Source organism: Homo sapiens, chromosome 8 (assembly GCF_000001405.40).
Source record: "Homo sapiens chromosome 8, GRCh38.p14 Primary Assembly".
In the NCBI taxonomy this organism is placed as follows: Eukaryota; Metazoa; Chordata; class Mammalia; order Primates; family Hominidae; genus Homo; species Homo sapiens.
In genome coordinates, this window is record NC_000008.11 from 39,167,661 (window position 1) to 39,185,046 (window position 17,386).

The 17,386-nt window shown below is 40.5% G+C and overlaps 1 protein-coding gene across 13 annotated transcripts in view, besides 1 other annotated feature; it reads left to right on the forward strand.

Moving 5' to 3' along the window:
- ADAM32 (ADAM metallopeptidase domain 32) overlaps window positions 1–17,386 on the forward strand; it is a 177,389-nt gene that overhangs the window by 60,132 nt on the left and 99,871 nt on the right. For 9 of the 13 annotated variants that reach the window (NM_001313994.1, NM_145004.7, XM_011544433.3 and 6 more), the window contains 1 exon segment: window positions 2,256–2,337. The exons of 3 other annotated variants lie outside the window; for them this stretch is intronic. In NM_001313994.1, coding sequence (NP_001300923.1) covers window positions 2,256–2,337 — 82 coding nt within the window. 13 annotated transcript variants of the gene reach the window in all.
- Window positions 13,058–14,257: an enhancer, noted in NCBI's record as "BRD4-independent group 4 enhancer chr8:39038237-39039436 (GRCh37/hg19 assembly coordinates)". NCBI's record gives its function as "activates an origin of replication core promoter dependent on BRD2, P300/CBP, MED14 and CDK7 cofactors, and independent of BRD4, by STARR-seq in HCT116 cells {active_cell/tissue: HCT116}" and the evidence as "EXISTENCE:reporter gene assay evidence [ECO:0000049][PMID:35650434]".

Sequence of the window (17,386 nt, forward strand, 5' to 3'; positions counted from 1 at the left end):
CCATCCATGAGCATGGGATGTGTTTCAATTTGTTTGTGTCATCTATGATTTCTTTCAGCATTGTTTTGTAGTTTTCCTTGTAGAGGTCTTTCTACTCCTTGGTTAAGTATATTCCTAAGTATTTTATTTTTTTGCAGCTATTGTGAAAGGGGTTGAGTTCTTGATTTGATTCTCTGCTTGATCACTGTTGGTGTTATAGAAGAACTACTGATTTGTGTACATTAATCTTGTATCCGGAAACTTTGCTGAATTCTTTTATTAGATCTAGGAGCTTTCTGGAGGAGTCTTTAGCATTTTCAAGGTAAATGATCGTATCATCACCAAACGTGACAGTTTGACTTCCTCTTTACCGATTTGGATGCCTGTAAGGGCTTTTTGAATGCTTAGATACTAACATTGTTTATCTTTATGACAAATACTTTTTCCATATCTATAATTTTTCTATAAACTTTTTTTTCTCTGCTACATTGCAGCAGACCTTGCTGGACTGAACAAAGGAGGACGAATGCAGGAATAAAGACAAAGAGAAAAGAATATATTTGCAAGAAGGGGTCAGGGGGCTCCTTGCTTTTAGTGAACAGGGGCCCTGAACTTCTAGAGCCCTTCATATTTATTGAGTAAAGGAGATAGGGAGAAGGGGGTGGTTGTGGTCAGCTGCTTGACTTAGTGCAGGCCTGCATGACTGCATTCTTTGAACAGTAGGCTCCAGATGTTCCAGTAGATACCCTCAAGGAGCACGGCACCAGGGAGTGACTGCCCTCAGCATACCTTCTGGTGGCAGGCACAGATGTGAATTTGCCCACATTATGCATTCATGATAAACAGTTTGCTGTTTAATCATATAGCCTCCAGGGGAATGCTGAGTTGGTCATGACCCTCAGGCTTTCGGCTCCCAACACTACATGAAAACTTTTACATTTCATATGGCCAAATTTGTTAATATTTTCTTCTTACTTTTTGGTTTCCTGTATAGTGTAGAAGGTCTCTTCCACCCCCAACTTTTAGTCTGCTAGAGTTTTCTTTAGGATTAATATTATTACCTTTTATAGAGTATGGAATTCATAGTTAGAACTGGAGCTGAACCTTTGAAGGAGGGAAAGGAAACAAACACTGACAAAGCAAGGTGGTAGATCTTGACAACTGATTTGATGTGGAGTGGGCACGTCAAAAGGTGTCAGTATGAGGTAAAAAATATATTACTGAGCTTGTCAGGAGTATGTGTAGAATTTTAGGGGAAGTCTAAGTTGTAAAAAAAGGGCTTATTAAAGTATCTGTGGGAGGGAGAAACAGAGTAAACAATACTTAGATGTTGGAACATAAAACCAATGTTTGGCATTAGGAACAAATACTTGGAAACAAATGCTGGAAGGGTTAGGTATAAACAATATCAGAGAGACAGAATAAAAGTAGTGGAGAGGCAGTGCGATTGTGAAGTGAAGTGCACTTGAGACAGAAGGGGCATTTCAAATTGAGAATTGAATTCCAAGCTTCTTAAGATTCTTTACTCACATCCTGGCTTATTCGTTTTGGTGGGGGCTCTAAATAAGGCAGTAAATGCTTGGAGCATCTATACCTTAGTAGTTGAGAATATGGCTCGGATTCAGACTGTGTAAGTTCAGATCCTTCAGTAGGACGTATTAATCATGCTACCTTGAGAGAGTTACTTATACTTCGCATCTGATACTTGATTTGCTCAATGGGGACAAAAATAATATCTACTTCACTAGTTTGTTTTGAGTGTTAAATGGATTAGTTAATGTAAAGTTCTGAGAATAGTGCTATTATTATATGACAGTTTAAATGGCTCCTTACTCAAGGCTGAAATAATAATGTTTGGGTGTGAAACAATAAAGCACTCCTATTGGAAACTGTTGAACTTTACTACCTGGGAGCAACATATTTTAATCTATACATTGAAACGATTTGTCACTGTCACTCAACAAAGTATTTTTTATCAGAATATTGGAGCAAAGCCTTTGGCAAACATAGCCAGATGTGATGAGAACACTAAAGGCATTAAAAACTTTGATCTATTAGATATGTTTCAGATATCAAGAGTGTTTAATCTAATTAATACTAATATGTCATATTAAATAATATTCCAAATTTGAAACAATTGAGGACATATGGAAAGATCATACCTCAATTTGCTTCAGATTTGGATTTTATGAACTGCAGACTTAAATTATTAGCAGGAATTCTCATTTTTAAATTGTCTGTTAAAATCAATTATAAATGTAAATTTATTTATTTAGTTATATGGATTATCCTCGTTATTTGGGAGCAGTGTTTCCTGGAACAATGTGTATTACTCGTTATTCTGCAGGAGTTGCATTGGTATGTAACTATTTAATCTTATTTTTTAAATTAACACGTTTAAAAATTATTTGACATGATAGTATATATTTTGTACAATTTATGTGCATGTTTCCATTTACAGATTGCATTTTTTTCCATTACTGTTAAAATTTTTAAGTGTGTAGAAGGAAGAATATTTTGTAGATCAATATCTTGTTGCAATTAATTATGTTTCAGAGTTGGAATAAAAATATCATAAATACGCATGCTGTTCTTGATATACAGAATAATGCATTGTGAAAAATTATCTGCAGTAAAATTTCTATAACCCAAAATAGATTTTTGCTTACAGACATAAAATTGGAGAAATATTCTTATAGATAAAATAGATTCAAAATCAAAACAAAAACCAGATTAAGGATTCCTTAAGATGTTTCAGAACTCTGAAAGACAGTAAAATAAACTTTTATGTGTATTTTAAGCATTTATAATACGGATAAATGTGATTTTATATATATAATGGGTAAAAATAAATGCATTATTGAAAAGTTGATGCATCTCTTTGTGCCATTTTCTCACCCTACTCATTTTTAAAAAAACAAGTTTAAGTACTATTTTTTTAACTTACAAAGTAATTTATGTTAATGATGTCAAATTTGTTGAGTATATATATATAGGAACATATAAGAAAATTCATATAATTTTGCATTTTGCCACCAGGTGGAGATAACCACTATTAACATTTTGATTGATATATATATCTTATTGTTTTCTTAAAAGAGTTTTAAATAAAAAAATTTTTAGAACATGTTTTTAGAAACTGTTATTCATTTTTTTATTGACACATAATAGTTGTATGTAAAGGCAGTGAGCAGAATGGTGATTACCAGAGGTTGGGAAGGGTAGGGGGAAGAGGAGATGAAGAGAAGTTGAGTAATGGGTACAAAATTACAGTCAGGTAGAAGGAATAAGTTCTAGTATATATATATATATTTTGACAGAGTCTTGCTTTTATGCCAGGCTGGAGTGCAGCAGCCTGATCTTGGCTCACTGCAACCTCCGCCTCCAAGGTTCAAGCGATTCTCATGTCTCAGTCTCCCTAGTAGCTGAGATTACAGAGGTGACCCACAACAACCAGCTAACTTTTTTGTATTTTTAGTAAAGAAGGGTTTTGAACATGTTGGCCATGACAGTCTCAAACTCCTGGCCTAAAGTGATCTGCCTGCCTCGGTGCTGCCTGCCTCCCAAGGTGCTGGGATTACAGGCATGAGCCACCATGCCTGGCCAGTTCTAGTATTCGATAGCACAATAGGGTGACTATAATTAACAATAATTTATAGTATATTTCAAAATAGCTAGAGGACAAGATTTGGATTGTTCTCAGAACAAATAAATGGTATATGTTTGAGGTTATGGATAGCCCAGTTACCCTGATTTGATCATTACATATCACCTGCATGTATATCTTCTACTTCGTGTGTTTCTCTGTTTATCTGTTACTGTAGCTCTCTCTATATATATTTTTTTGCAAAATGTGATTTTGCAGCACCTATTTTTATTTCTAATACTTAAACATTTTTTATTACTGAAATAATGAATGCACATGGTAAATTGTTTAAACTATAGATATACAAAGCAAAAAATGATAGTAAAACTGTCTACCTCTTCATTTAGTCCTATTTAAGAATTTAATAATTTCCATTTAAGTTCTTCTGTTGGTTAAATTTATTTATTTAAAAATATATATGCCCTTACCTCTATTTTAATTTATAAACTGTAGACAATATTGGTAATATTACATTTGATATGTTGAGTCCACTCTCTCTACTTGTTGCTTATGTTTAAATATATATATTTAAATATTGGTTCTTATTTTTAATTTTATGTAATATCTATATATATGTTAAACAATGTCCACTGTTTGCTTGCTGTGAACAGTAAGAGGTGTAATGTAGTTGTATATTTCTTATACCCATTGTCAATATTTAGATAATTTATAACTAATTCTGTAGGGCTTTTGCACTTTGTCTAGAGATTGATGTAAGAATTAAATAAATAAACAGCATTTTATAGTATTATAAATATATAAATAATATTAACTATTGAATAAAGAAATAAATATTTCTTATGACAGTAAAGCTTTGATGGTCAAAGGAGGACATTTTAGGCATCAGAATCTAATGGAGCACTGAATTTTTTTCTAACTTCTTTTACTTGTTATGGGTGAAACCAACTGCCACAGAAAATGAAATCCCATCTTCCTTTTCTTGGAATCTTTTACTACTTTTCTGGAATAACTCTTGATTTTTTTTTTAACACAGTGTATATGAATTGCAAACATTGAGCTATTTTATCAATGAAAGCACTTTTTTTCTTCAGCGTTTAAGTTCTTGGGTACATATGCAGGATGTGTAGGTTTGTTACATAGGTAAATGTGTGCCATGGTGGTTTTCTGCACCTATCAACCTATCACTTAAGTATTAAGCCCCACATACATTAGCTGTTTATCCTGGTGCTCTCCCTTCCCTGGCCCCCTGACAGGCCCCAGCGTGTGTTGTTCCCCTCCCTGTGTCTATGTGTTCTTATTGTTCAGCTCCCACTTATAAGTGAGAACATGCAGTGTTTAGTTTTCTGTTCCTGTGTTAGTTTGCTGAGGATAATGGCTTCCAGTTCCATCCTTGTCCCTGCAAAGTCTTTCCTTTTTTCGACTGCATACATAGTATTCCATGGTGTACATGTATCACATTTATATATGTATCACATTTGCTTCATCCAGTCTATCATTGATGGACATTTGGGTTGATTCCATGTCTTTGCTATTGTGACTAGTGCTGCAATGAACATACAGGTGCATGTGTCTTTATAATAGAATGATTTATATTCCTTTGGGTATATACCCAGTAATGGGATTGCTGGGCTAAATGGTGTTTCTGCCTCTAGGTCTTTGAGGAATTGCCACAGTGTCTTCCACAATGGCTGAACTAATTTACATTCCCACCAACAGTCTAAACATGTTCCAGGCCGGCCGCAGTGGCTCACGCCTATAATCCCAGCATTCTGGGAGGCTGAGGCGGGTGGATCACGAGGTCAGGAGTTTGAGACCAGCCTGACCAACATGGTGAAACCTTGTCGCTACTAACAATACAAAAATTAGCCAGGCATGGTGGCAGGCACCTGTAATCCCAGCTACTCAGGAGGCTGAGGCAGGAGAATCACTTGAACCTGGGAGGCAGAGGTTGCAGTAAGCCGAGATCGTGCCACTGCACTCCAGCCTGGGCAACAAGAGGGAGACTCTGTCTCAAAAACAAACAAGCAAACAAACAAACCAAACAAAACAAACATATTCCTATTTCTCCATAGCTTTGCCAGCATCTGTTGTTTCTTGACTTTTTAATAATCGCCATTCTGACTGGAGTGAGGTGGTATCTCATTGTGATTTTAATTTGCATTTCTTTAATGATCAGTGCTGTTGAGTTTTTTTTTTTCATGTTTTTTGCCCACATGAATGTCTTCTTTTGAGAAGTGTCTGTTCATGTCCTTTGTCCACTTTTTAATTTTTTTTCTTGTAAATATGTTTAAGTTCCTTGTAGACTCTGTAGATTAGACCTTTATGAGATGGATAGATTGCAAAAATTTTCTCCCCCTCTGTAAGTTGTCTATTCACTCAGATGATAGTTTCTTTTGCTCTGCAGAAGCTCTTCAGTTTAATTAGATCCCATTTGTCAGTTTTTGCTTTTATTATGATTGCTTTTTTCATTTTTGTCATGAAATCTTTTCCCATGCCTCTGTCCTGAATGACGTTGCCTAGATTTTCTTCAAAGGTTTTGATAGTTTTGGGTTTTACATTTCAGTTTTTAATCCATATTGGGTTAATTTTTTTTTTTGAGACAGGGTCTCACTCTGTAGCCCAGGCTGGAGTGCAGTGGCACAATCTAGGCTCACTGCAACCTCTGCCTCCAAGGTTCAAGCGATTCTCTTGCTTCAGACTTGCCAGTAGCTGGGATTACAGACGTGCACTGCCACACTTGGCTAATTTTTGTATTTTTAGTAGATACAAGGTTTCACTGTGTTGGTCAGGCTGGTCTCCAACTCCTGTCCTCATGTGATGCACCTGCCCTGGCCTCCCAAAGTGTTGGGGTTACAGGCGTGAGCCACCATGCCCAATCAACTTAATTTTTGTATAAGGTGTAAGGAAGGAGTCCAGTTTCAATTTTCTGCATATGGCTAGCCAGTTCTCCCAGGTCCATTTATTAAATAGGGAATCCTTTCCCCATTGCTTGTTTGTGTCAGATTTGTTGAAGATCAGATGGTTGTAGGTGTGTGGTCTTATTTCTGAGTTCTCTATTCTGTTCTATTGGTCTATGTGTCTGTTCTTGTACCAGTACGATGCTGTTTTGGTTACTGTAGCCTTGTAGTATAGTTTGAAGTTGGGTAGCATGATGCTTCCAGCTTTGTTCTTTTCTCTTAGGATGGTTGTGGCTATTTGAACTCTTTTTTGGTTCCATATGATTTTTTTTTTGCCTCAGTTTCCTTATTTATTTATTTATTTGTTTATTTTTTATTATTATACTTTAAGTTTTAGGGTACATGTGCACAATGTGCAGGTTAGTTACATATGTATACATGTGCCTTGCTGGTGCGCTGCACCCACCAACTCATCATCTAGCATTAGGTATATCTCCCAGTGCTATCCCTCCCCCCTCCCCCGACCCCACAACAGTACCCAGAGTGTGATAGTTTTTTTTTCTAATTCTGTGAAGAATGTCAATGGTAGTTTAATGGAAATAGCATTGAATCAATCTATAAATTGCTTTGGGCAGTATGGCCATTTTCATGATATTGATTCTTTCTATTTATGAACATGGAATATTTTTCAATTGTTTGTGTCCTCCCTAATTTTCTTGAGCACTGATTTGTAGTACTCCTTGAAGAGGTCCTTCACTTCCCTTGTTAGCTGTATTCCTAGGTATTTTATTCTCTTTGTAGCAACTGTGAGTGGGAGTTCATTCATGATTTCACTCTCTGCTTTTCTGTTGTTGGTGTAGGAGTGCTAGTTATTTTTGCATATTGATTTTGTATCCTGAGACATTGCTGAAGTTGCATATTAGCTTAAGGAGCTTTTGGGCTGAGAGGATGAAGTTTTCTAGGTATAGGATCATGTCATCTGCAAACAAAGACAATTTGACTTCCTCTCTTTCTATTTGAATTCCCTTTATTTTTTTATTTTGCCTTATTGTCCTGGCCAGAACTTGCAATACTATGTTGAATAGGAATGGTGAGAGAGGGAATGCTTGTCTTGTGCCAGTTTATAAGGGGAATGCTTCCAGCTTTTGCCCATTCAGTATGACATTGGCTTTGGGTTTTCCATAGATGGTTCTTATTATTTTGAGGTATGTTCATTCTTTCTACCTAGTTTACTGAGAGATTTTAACATGAAAATTTTTTCAAAGGATTTTTCTGCATCTATTGAGATAATCATGTGGTTTTTGTCTTTAGTTCTGTTTATGTGATGAATCACATTTATTGATTTGTGTGTGTTGAACCAACCTTGCATCCTGGGGACGAAGCCAACTTGATCATAGTGGATAAGCTTTTTGATGTACAGCTGGATTCAGTTTGCCAGTATTTTATTGAGGATTTTTGCATCGATGTTCATCAGAGATATTGGCCTGAAGTTTTCTTTTTTTGTTGTATCTCTGCTGGGTTTTGGTATCAGGATGACGCTGGGTTCATAAAATGAATTGGGGAGGAGTCCCTTCTTTTCAATTGTTTGGAATAGTTTCATTAAAAATGGTACCAGCTCTTCTTTCTACCTCTGGTAGAATGTTAGCTGTAAATTTTTCTGGTCCTGGGCTCTTTTTGGTTGATAGGCTATTCATTAGTTCTGCCTCCATTTCAGAACTCATTTATTTGTTTATTCAGGGATTCAATTTCTTCCTGGTTCAGTCTTGGAAGGGTGTTATGTGTCCAGGAATTTATCCATTTCTTCTAGATTTTCTAGTTTACGTGCATAGAGGTGTTTACAGTATTCTCTGATGGTTGTTTGTATTTCTGTGGGTTCAGTGGTGATATCCCCCTTATCATTTCTGATTGTATCTATTTGATTCTTCTCTCTTTTCTTCTTTACTAGTCTAGCTAGTGGTTTATCTATTATATTAATTTTTTCAAAAAAGCAGCTCCTGGATTCATTGATTTTTTGAAGGTTTTTTTGTGTGTCTCTATCTCCTTCAGTTCTGCTCTGATCTTGGTTATTTCTTGTCTTCTGCTAGCTTTGGGGTTCGGTTACTCTTGGTTCTCTTGTTCTTTTAGTTGGCATGTTAGGTTTTTGATTTGAGATATTTCTAGCTTTTTGATGTGGCCATTTAATCCTATGAATTTCTCTCTTAACATGGCTTTACCTGCATCCCATAGATTCCGGTACGTTGTCTCTTTGTTCTCATTAGTTTCAAAGAACTTCTTGATATCTGGCTTAATTTCATTATTTACCCAGGAGTCCTTTGGGAGCAGGTTGTTCAATGCTTATGTAGTTGTGCAGTTTTAAGTGAGTTTCTGAATTTTGAGTTCTAATTTGATTGTGCTGTGGTTTGAGAGACTGTTTGTTATGATTACAGTTCTTTTGCATTTGCTGAGGAGTGTTTTACTTTTGATTATGTGATTGATTTTAGAGTAAGTACTGTGTGGCGATGAGAAGAATGTATATTCTCTTGATTTTGGGTGGAGATTTCTGTAGATATCTATCAGGTCCACTTGATCCAGAGCTGAGTTCAAGTCCTGTATATCTTTGTTAATTTTCTGTCTCAATGATTTGTCTAATATTGTCAGTGGGGTGTTAAAGTCTCCCACTATTATTGTGTGGGAGTCTAAGTCTCTTTGTAGGTCTCTAAGAACCTGCTTTATGAATCTGGGTACTCCTGTATCGGGTGCTTATGTATTTAGGATAGTTAGCTCTTCTTATTGAATTGAACCCTTTACCATTATGTAATGCCCTTCTTTGTCTTTTTTGATCTTTGTTGGTTTAAAGTCTGTTTTGTAAGAAACTAGGATTGCAACTCCAACTTTTTTCTGTTTTTCATTTGCTTGGTAAATTTTTCTTCATCTCCTCCTTTTTTTTTTTTTTGGAGACAGGAGTCTCACTCTGTTGCCCAGGCTGGAGTGCCATGGCATGATTTCGGCTCACTGCAACCTCTGCCTCCCAGGTTCAAGAGATTCTCTTGCCTCAGCCTCCCAAGTAGCTGGGATTACAGGCACACATCACCATGCTTGGCTAATTTTTTGTGTTTTCAGTAGAGACAGGATTTCACTATGTTGGCCAGGCTGGTCTTGAACTCTTGACCTCAAGTGACCTGCCCACCTTGGTCTCCCAAAGTGCTTGAGTGATTACAGGCTTGAGTGATTGCTCCCAGCCATCCCTTTATTTTGAGCCTATGTGTCTTTGCATGGGAGATGGGTATCTTGAAGGCAGTATACCAGTGGGTTTTGACTCTTTATTCATCTTGTCATTTGTGTCTTTTAATTTGGGCATTTAGCCTATTTACATTTAGCCGATTTACATTTAAAATTAATGTTGTTCTGTGTGAATTTGATCCTGTCATCATGATTCTAGCTGGTTATTTTGCAGACTTTTTTATGTGGTTGCTTCATAGTGTTACTGATCTGTGTACTTCAATGTGTTTTGGTAGTGGCTGATAATTGTTTTTCATTTCCATATTTAATGCTTCCTTCAGGAGCTCTTGTAAGGCAGGCCTGGTGGTGATGTATTCCCTCAGCATTTGCTTGTCTGAAAAGGATCTTATTTCTCTTTTGTTTATGAAGCTTAGTTTGGCTAAATATGAAATTCTGGGTTGAAAATTCTTTTCTATAAGAATGTTGAATATTGGCCCCCAATCTCTTCTGGCTTGCAAGGTTCCACTGAAAAGTCTGCTGTTATTCTGATGGGCTTCCTTTTGTAGGTGACCTGGCCTTTCCATCTGACTGCCTTAACATTTTTTTTTTTTTACTTTCAGTTTGACCTTGGAGAATCTGATGATTGGGTGTCTTGGGGCTGAACTTCTCATGGAGTATCTTACTGGGGTTCTCTGGGTTTCCTGAATTTGAATGTTGGTCTGTCTTGCTAGGTTGAGGAAGTTCTGGATGACATCCTGAAGTATGTTTTCCAACTTGGTTCTGTTCTCCCCATCTCTTTCAGGTATCTTAATCAGTTGTAAGTTCAGTCTTTTAATATAATCCCGTATTTCTCAGAGGTTTTGTTAATTCCTTTTCCTTCTTTTTTCTCTGTTCTTGCCTGAATGTCTTATTTCAGAAAGACAGTCTTCAAGCTCTGATATTTTTTCCTCCTCTTGGTCTGTTCTGCTATTGATACTTGTGATTGCATTGTGAATTTCTTGTGTTGTGTTTTTCACCTCCATCAGGTCAGTTATGATCCTTTATAAACTGGCTATTCTGGTTAACTGCTCCTGTATTGTTTTATTATGATTGTTAGCTTCTTTGCATTGGGTTAGAACATTCTCCTTTAGCTCAACAAAGTTTTTTATTACCCACCTTCTGAAGACTACTTCTGTCATTTCAGCCATCTCTGCCTCAGCCCAGTTCTGTGCCCTTGCTGGGAGATATTGGGGTCATTTGGAGGAGCAGAGACATTCTGGCTTTTTAAGTTTTCAGTGTTTTTGCATTGATTTTTCTCATCTTTGTGGGCTATCTACCTTTGATCTTTGAGGTTGCTGACCTTTGAATGGGGTTTTTGTGGGGCCTTTTTTGTTGATGTTATTTTGATGTTATTGTTGTGGCTTTCTGTTTGTTTTTCCTTTTAACAGTCAGGCCACTCTTTCATAGGGCTGCTGCAGTTTGCTGGGGGTTCACTCCAGACCCTAGTTGCCTCAGTCTCTCCCACACCTGGAGGTATCACCAGTGAAGGCTAGGAAACAGCAAAGATGGCAACCTGCTTCTTCCTCTGTGAGCTCCATCCCAGGAGGGCACTGACCTTATACTAGCCCATATACTCCTGTAGGTGATATCTGTAGGAGGTCTCACCCAGTCAGGAGGAATGGGATCATCAGGGACCCGCTTAAAGAAGCAGTCTGGCTGTCCCTTCACAGAGCAGATGTGCTGTGTTTGGGGGAGCCCTCCTCATCGAGACCACCCAGACTCTCTAGAGCCAGCAGGCTGGAAAGGCATAGTCGGCTGAACCACAGAGACTATGGCCATCCCTTCCCCCTGGAAGCTTCATCCCAGAGAGAGATCAGAGTTCTGGTCTGGACTACCTGGAGTCTCCAGAGACAGCAGGCTAGAATGGCCAACTTGAAGCACAGAGATGTGGCCGCTCCTTCCCCAAGGAACTTAGTCCGTCTCAGTCAGTCTCCAGCCTGCTGCTACTGGCTGGCTCGAATTCCAAGCCAGTGGGTCTTAACTTGAGAGGTGCTGTGGAAGTCGGGCCTGCAGAACAACACTGCTTGGCTCCCTGGATTCAGCCCCCTTCCTACAGGAATGCATGAATGGATCTCCCGCCTGGCAGGAATTCCTGGGGCTAGGGTATTCAAAACTCCTGGGTGTCCATAGTATGCCCAAATGGCTGCTTCCCTGAGGCTCCACACTCTCTGTGCTTTGGACCCAAGGCCCTGGTGACATGGGCTCATGAGGGGATCTCCTGATCCATGGGCTGCAAAGAGCCATGAGAAAAGCACGGTTTTCAAGGTAGGGCTGCACAATCACTCATCACTTCCCTTAGCTGGGGATGTGGGCTTCCCTGGCTCCATGCCACTCCTGGGTGGGCCATCACCCCACCTTGCTTTTCCTTGCTCTCCGTGGGTCAAGCCGTCTGCCTAGTCAGTCCCAGTGTAAGAACCTGGATACCTCAGTTGAAAGTGTAGAATTTGCTTGCCGTTTTCATTCCTTTCCATGAGAGCTGGGGACTGTAGCTGCCTCTAATCAGCCATCTTGGTCCTACCCGCTTCAATGAAAACACTTTTATTTTGTCTTAATGAGAGGTGACAGCTTGCTGGCAGTCCTCAGAGCCCTCGCTTGCTCTCGGTGCCTCCTCTGCCTGGGCTCCCACTTTGGCAGCACTTGAGGAGCCCTTTGGCCCACCGCTGCACTGTGGGAGCCCCTTTCTGGGCTGGCCAAGGCCAGAGCTGGCTCCCTCAGCTTGCAGGGAGGTGTGGAGGGAGAGGCGCGAGTGGGAACTGGGGCTGCGCGCAGCGCTTGCGGGCCAGCTGGAGTTCCGGGTGGGCGTGGGCTTGGCGGGCCCCGCACTCGGAGCAGCGGGCCGGCCCTGCCGACCCCAGGCAGTGAGGGGCTTAGCACCTGGGCCAGCGGCTGCAGAGGGTGTACTGGGTCCCCCAGCAGTGCCAGCCCACGGGTGCTGTGCTCGATTTCTCGCCGGGCCTTAGCTGCCTTCCCATGGGGCAGGCCTCCGGACTGCAGCCCGCCATGCCTAAGCCTCCCCCGCCTCAGCCTCCCCTGCCTCTGTGGGCTCCTTTGCGGCCCGAGCCTCCCCGACGAGCGCTGCCCCCTGCTCCACGGCGCCCAGTCCCATCGACCACCCGAGGGCTGAGGAGTACGAGCACATGGCGCGGGACTGGCAGGCAGCTCCACCTGCAGCCCTGGTGCGGGATCCACTGGATGAAGCCAGCTGGGCTCCTGAGTCTGGTGGGGAGGTGGAGAGTCTTTATGTCTAGCTCAGGGATTGTAAATACACCAATTGGCACTCTGTATCTAGCTCAAGGTTTGTAAACACACCAATCAGCACCCTGTGTCTAGCTCAGGGTTTGTGAGTGCACCAATTGACACTCTGTATCTAGCTGCTCTGGTGGGGCCTTGGAGAACCTTTATGTCTAGCTCAGGGATTGTAAATACACCAATTGGCACTCTGTATCTAGCTCAAGGTTTGTAAACACGCCAATCAGCACCCTCTGTCTAGCTCAGGGTTTGTGAGTGCACCAATCGACACTCTGTATCTAGCTGCTCTGGTGGGGCCTTGGAGAACCTGTGAGTCCATACTCTGTGTCTAACTAATCTGATGGGGAGGTGGAGAACCTTTGTATCTAGCTCAGGGATTGTAAACGCACCAATCAGCACCCTGTCAAAACAGGCCACTTGGCTCTACCAATCAGCAGGATGTGGGTGGGGCCAGATAAGAGAATAAAAGCAGGCTGCCCTAGCCAGCAGTGGCAACCCGCTTGGGTCCTTTTCCACACTGTGGAAGCTTTGTTCTTTCACTCTTTGCAATAAATCTTGCTACTGCTCACTCTTTGGGTCCACACTGCTTTTATGAGCTGTAACACTCACCACGAAGATCTGCAGCTTCTCTCCTGAAGCCAGCGAGCCCATGAGCCCACCAGGAGGAACGAACAACTCCAGACGTGCCGTCTTAAGAACTGTAACACTCACTGCGAACGTCTGCAGCTTCACTCCTGAGCCAGCGAGACCACGAACCCACCAGAAGGAAGAAACTCTGAACACATCCAAACGTCAGAAGGAACAAACTCCAGACACGCCACCTTAAGAGCTGTAACACTCACTGCGAGGCTCCGCGGCTTCATTCTTGAAGTCAGTGAGACCAAGAACCCACCAATTCCGGACACATTAACATTTGATTGATAATTGGGCTAGGTATAGAATCTTTGTCCTAACATCTTCCTACCTCAGCATTTTGAAGACTAATGTATCATATTTTTGCCAAGTCATTATGAAGTGAAAAGATGGCAAGGAAATTCAGGGTGTATGTAAAGGAATTTGAACTGATGAGTGAAAGAGAGAAGTTAGTAAGGAAGTTAGGAACAGTGAAAATGTGGTTGGAACCATGAGTTAGATGTGCTGGCTGGTTCATGAATTGTTGGAGGTGCTAGAGGAGTAATCAGGAAAAAATGCAGATGATCAGTCTGTGAGATGCAGTTACTAAGATGATGGAGGGGTGGCAGTTATTGATAAAGATCTGTTGACAAGGGCTAGAGTGTGAAACATAAGAATGAGTGGCTGAGGCAAGGCATACGATAAAATTGTGGGAGGAGATAAATTCAAGGAAGTGTAAAACACAATTTTTATACTTACACTTTTACAAAGCCACAATAATTTTGAAGAACGACAAAGTTGAGGGACATATTATAGTTTATATCAAGACATTATAAACACTTAGTAATTAAGACAGAGACAGGTGCAGTGATAGACCAATAGACCAGAGAGTTCAGAAACAAAAAAATGTATAGGCATACACTAAATTTTTTACAAAGGCGACACTGTAGTGCACTGGTTAGCAGATGGGCTTTTTGATAAAAGAAACTCTACTTTGACTTGATGCTATTTGAAAGACAGAATATAAATAGATTATAGCTCTATATGTGCAAGTTAAACAGTAAAGCTCTGGAAGATTAAAAAAAGGAACAAAGATTCATGACTATGTGAGTAGAGAAAGATTGTTTTTTCTTTTATTTCAAATTCATTTATTTTTTAAATTGACATATAAAATTGTCTGCCTTTACCATGCACAACATGATGTTTTGAAGACTGTATACATTATAAAATGGTTAAATCTAGCTAACAAATGCATTGCCTCACATACTTATCATTTTTACGGTGAGAATGCTTAACATTCACTCTCTTAGCATTTTTCAAGAATACAATTTATCATCATTAACTGTAGTTACCAAGCGGTACAATAGAACTCCTGAATGTATTCTTCCTTTCTGTCTTTAAATATCCATTCTTTGACCAACATCTCCCAGAAGAGGATTATTTTGAATTCTTTGTCAGTCATTTCATAAATATCCTTTCTTCTGGGTACACTGCAGGAGCTTTATTAGTTTCTTTCTGTGATGTCATATTTTCCTGATTTTTCGTAATCCTTGTGTCCCTATGCATTTGAGGAGATGTTCACGTCTTCTAGCTTTTGCAGGTGTTCTTTTCTGGTAACAGACCTTTACTTTTACTGTAACCTGGGATTCTGGATGCCATTGGTTACAACCGTGGACAGGCAGACCTTGGTGTTGGGTTCTCTAGTTGGGCTTGGTTGCTTCCCGTACTCTGAGGTCAAATGGTATAGTTGGCTGTGCTCCGTGGTCTAGTGAGACCACTGGCTGGACTCTAACATCAGGTGGGGATACTGGCTGGGTTCTGTGATTGTTTCTGATGGAGCAGTATTGTAGGTTGTCTTCCCTGGCTAGGCAGTATTTTTGTATGTTTGGAATCTGTATCGTGTTTCCTGCAGCATGATGCTGTTGGCTAGTCTTTCTGGCGTGGCACCTCCATTGGCCAGAATGAAGAGCAACCCCAAAGAATCATGTGCTGATCACTGTGAGCCCCACCACTATTTTTCATCTCCAACTGACCCAGATGGCTTAGCCCTACCAGCACTCCCAGTGGTTCCTGTGTGATGAGACAGGAGTGAGCCTCTCACAAATGGTCCCAGAATGGTGGGGAAGTTAAATGTCTGCCTCTAATTCACCCCTACCATACCAGAAACCTTAGGCCCAGAGTAACTCTGCATGCAGTGCCGCACCAGCCTGGGGCTATTCCCAATATAGTATATTCCCAATATAGTATAGTAAGTCACCACAGCCTCTGCCAGCTAGTATGCAGCAACTTATCTAGCAATTCCCATCCCATCTTTCCTCATCATCACTCACTCTGTTCTCAGACTCAAGCCTAATGGCTATGGGGGAAATGGCACCAAGTTTTGGCTGCTGCTTTAGGATATTTAAAAAATCATTAGTGACATCCTTCCTACCTCTCTGGATGTTGTTCCTTAGCTGGTGCCACAACTGAATCTTTAGCCAGCCATTACAGTCTTGTATTAAGCCAGTTGCTTCTGTGTTACAGGACATGTGATAAGTAAATCTTGTAGTAATGAACCCATTTCTATAAATACTAGGCCACAAAATGTGACCCTGGTCAGAAACAATAGTGTGTGGTGATGTAGAAGACACTCTTTAAGCGCAGGAATGTCGTGCTTCAGAATCACTGCAGACAGGCAAGGAAAATCCATACCTGGGATACACGAGGACAAATCGTTCCTCCTTCAATGAATGAGCAGTCCACTGTAATAAACCTATCTCCAGTTTACTGGCTAATCCAACAGGGGCATAGTGCTATGGTGGAGGCTTATCACTGGCTTCTGTTGATGGCAGGTAGAGTGCTCGAGCTGTTTAGAAAGGCAGATCGGTTTCAGATGATAATTTACAGTCATTATCTATCTTTTGCTTTTGCACCAGGCAAACAAACAAGTTAAATGATTATGTGACATGTATCATTACTCCTACAATTTCAAACTTTAATGGCAACACTAATATAAGTAGTATGCAATTCCCCAAGGGATGCCATATTACTCTTGATTTATCATCTTGGGAGCAGTTCCAGGCACTTCCTCTTGGCCCTCCCTATCATAACATGTCTCACTCCATTGGTCAGCAGACAATATGTGCTAGTATTTCTATTCCAGCCATAATTCTGGGATTTGGAAAATAATAGTAGGACATATCTGAAGTTCTTTTGGATTTACTGTTAGATGAACTTGAAACAAGTTTCTTCTGACTACCTGACCTCCATAAGCCTGCACTTAGACCAGTAGACTAAGGTGGTATTCAGTTTTTCAGGGTAACTTTAGTTCTGACTCAGAAACCAATAAGCCCCAGAAGTCCTAGCTATTTTCTTTTCCTGTGTGCACAGTTATTCTAGTGAATAGCTACAGGTCCCTCTGTGGAAGGCTTGGGGGAATAGTCAGTTTCATCTGTATGGCAGGTTCCTGACTTAGTTGTGAATCCCTGAGGTTGTGAATTGGTTTAGTTCTGGGAATCTGCATCACAGCAACTCATGTTAAGTTTTTGCCACCAGACCTAGAATGTCAAGAAAATCTTCAGTATGATGCTCATATATTTTATTTTTAGGGTCCCTGAAATAATTATCATAATCCCTGTAGGTCAAAGCAGCTTTGATAATCTGTAAGCCCCTTTAGCCTATGGTGGTAATTGCACCCACCTTGTCTCAGTTAAGCTGTGCCGCATGGCCTGTAACACTCCTGGTCCCAATGTTCCTGTTGGGGCTGGGCGTGGTGGCTCATGCCTTTAATCCCAGCACTTTGGGAGGCTGAGGCAGGTGGATCACT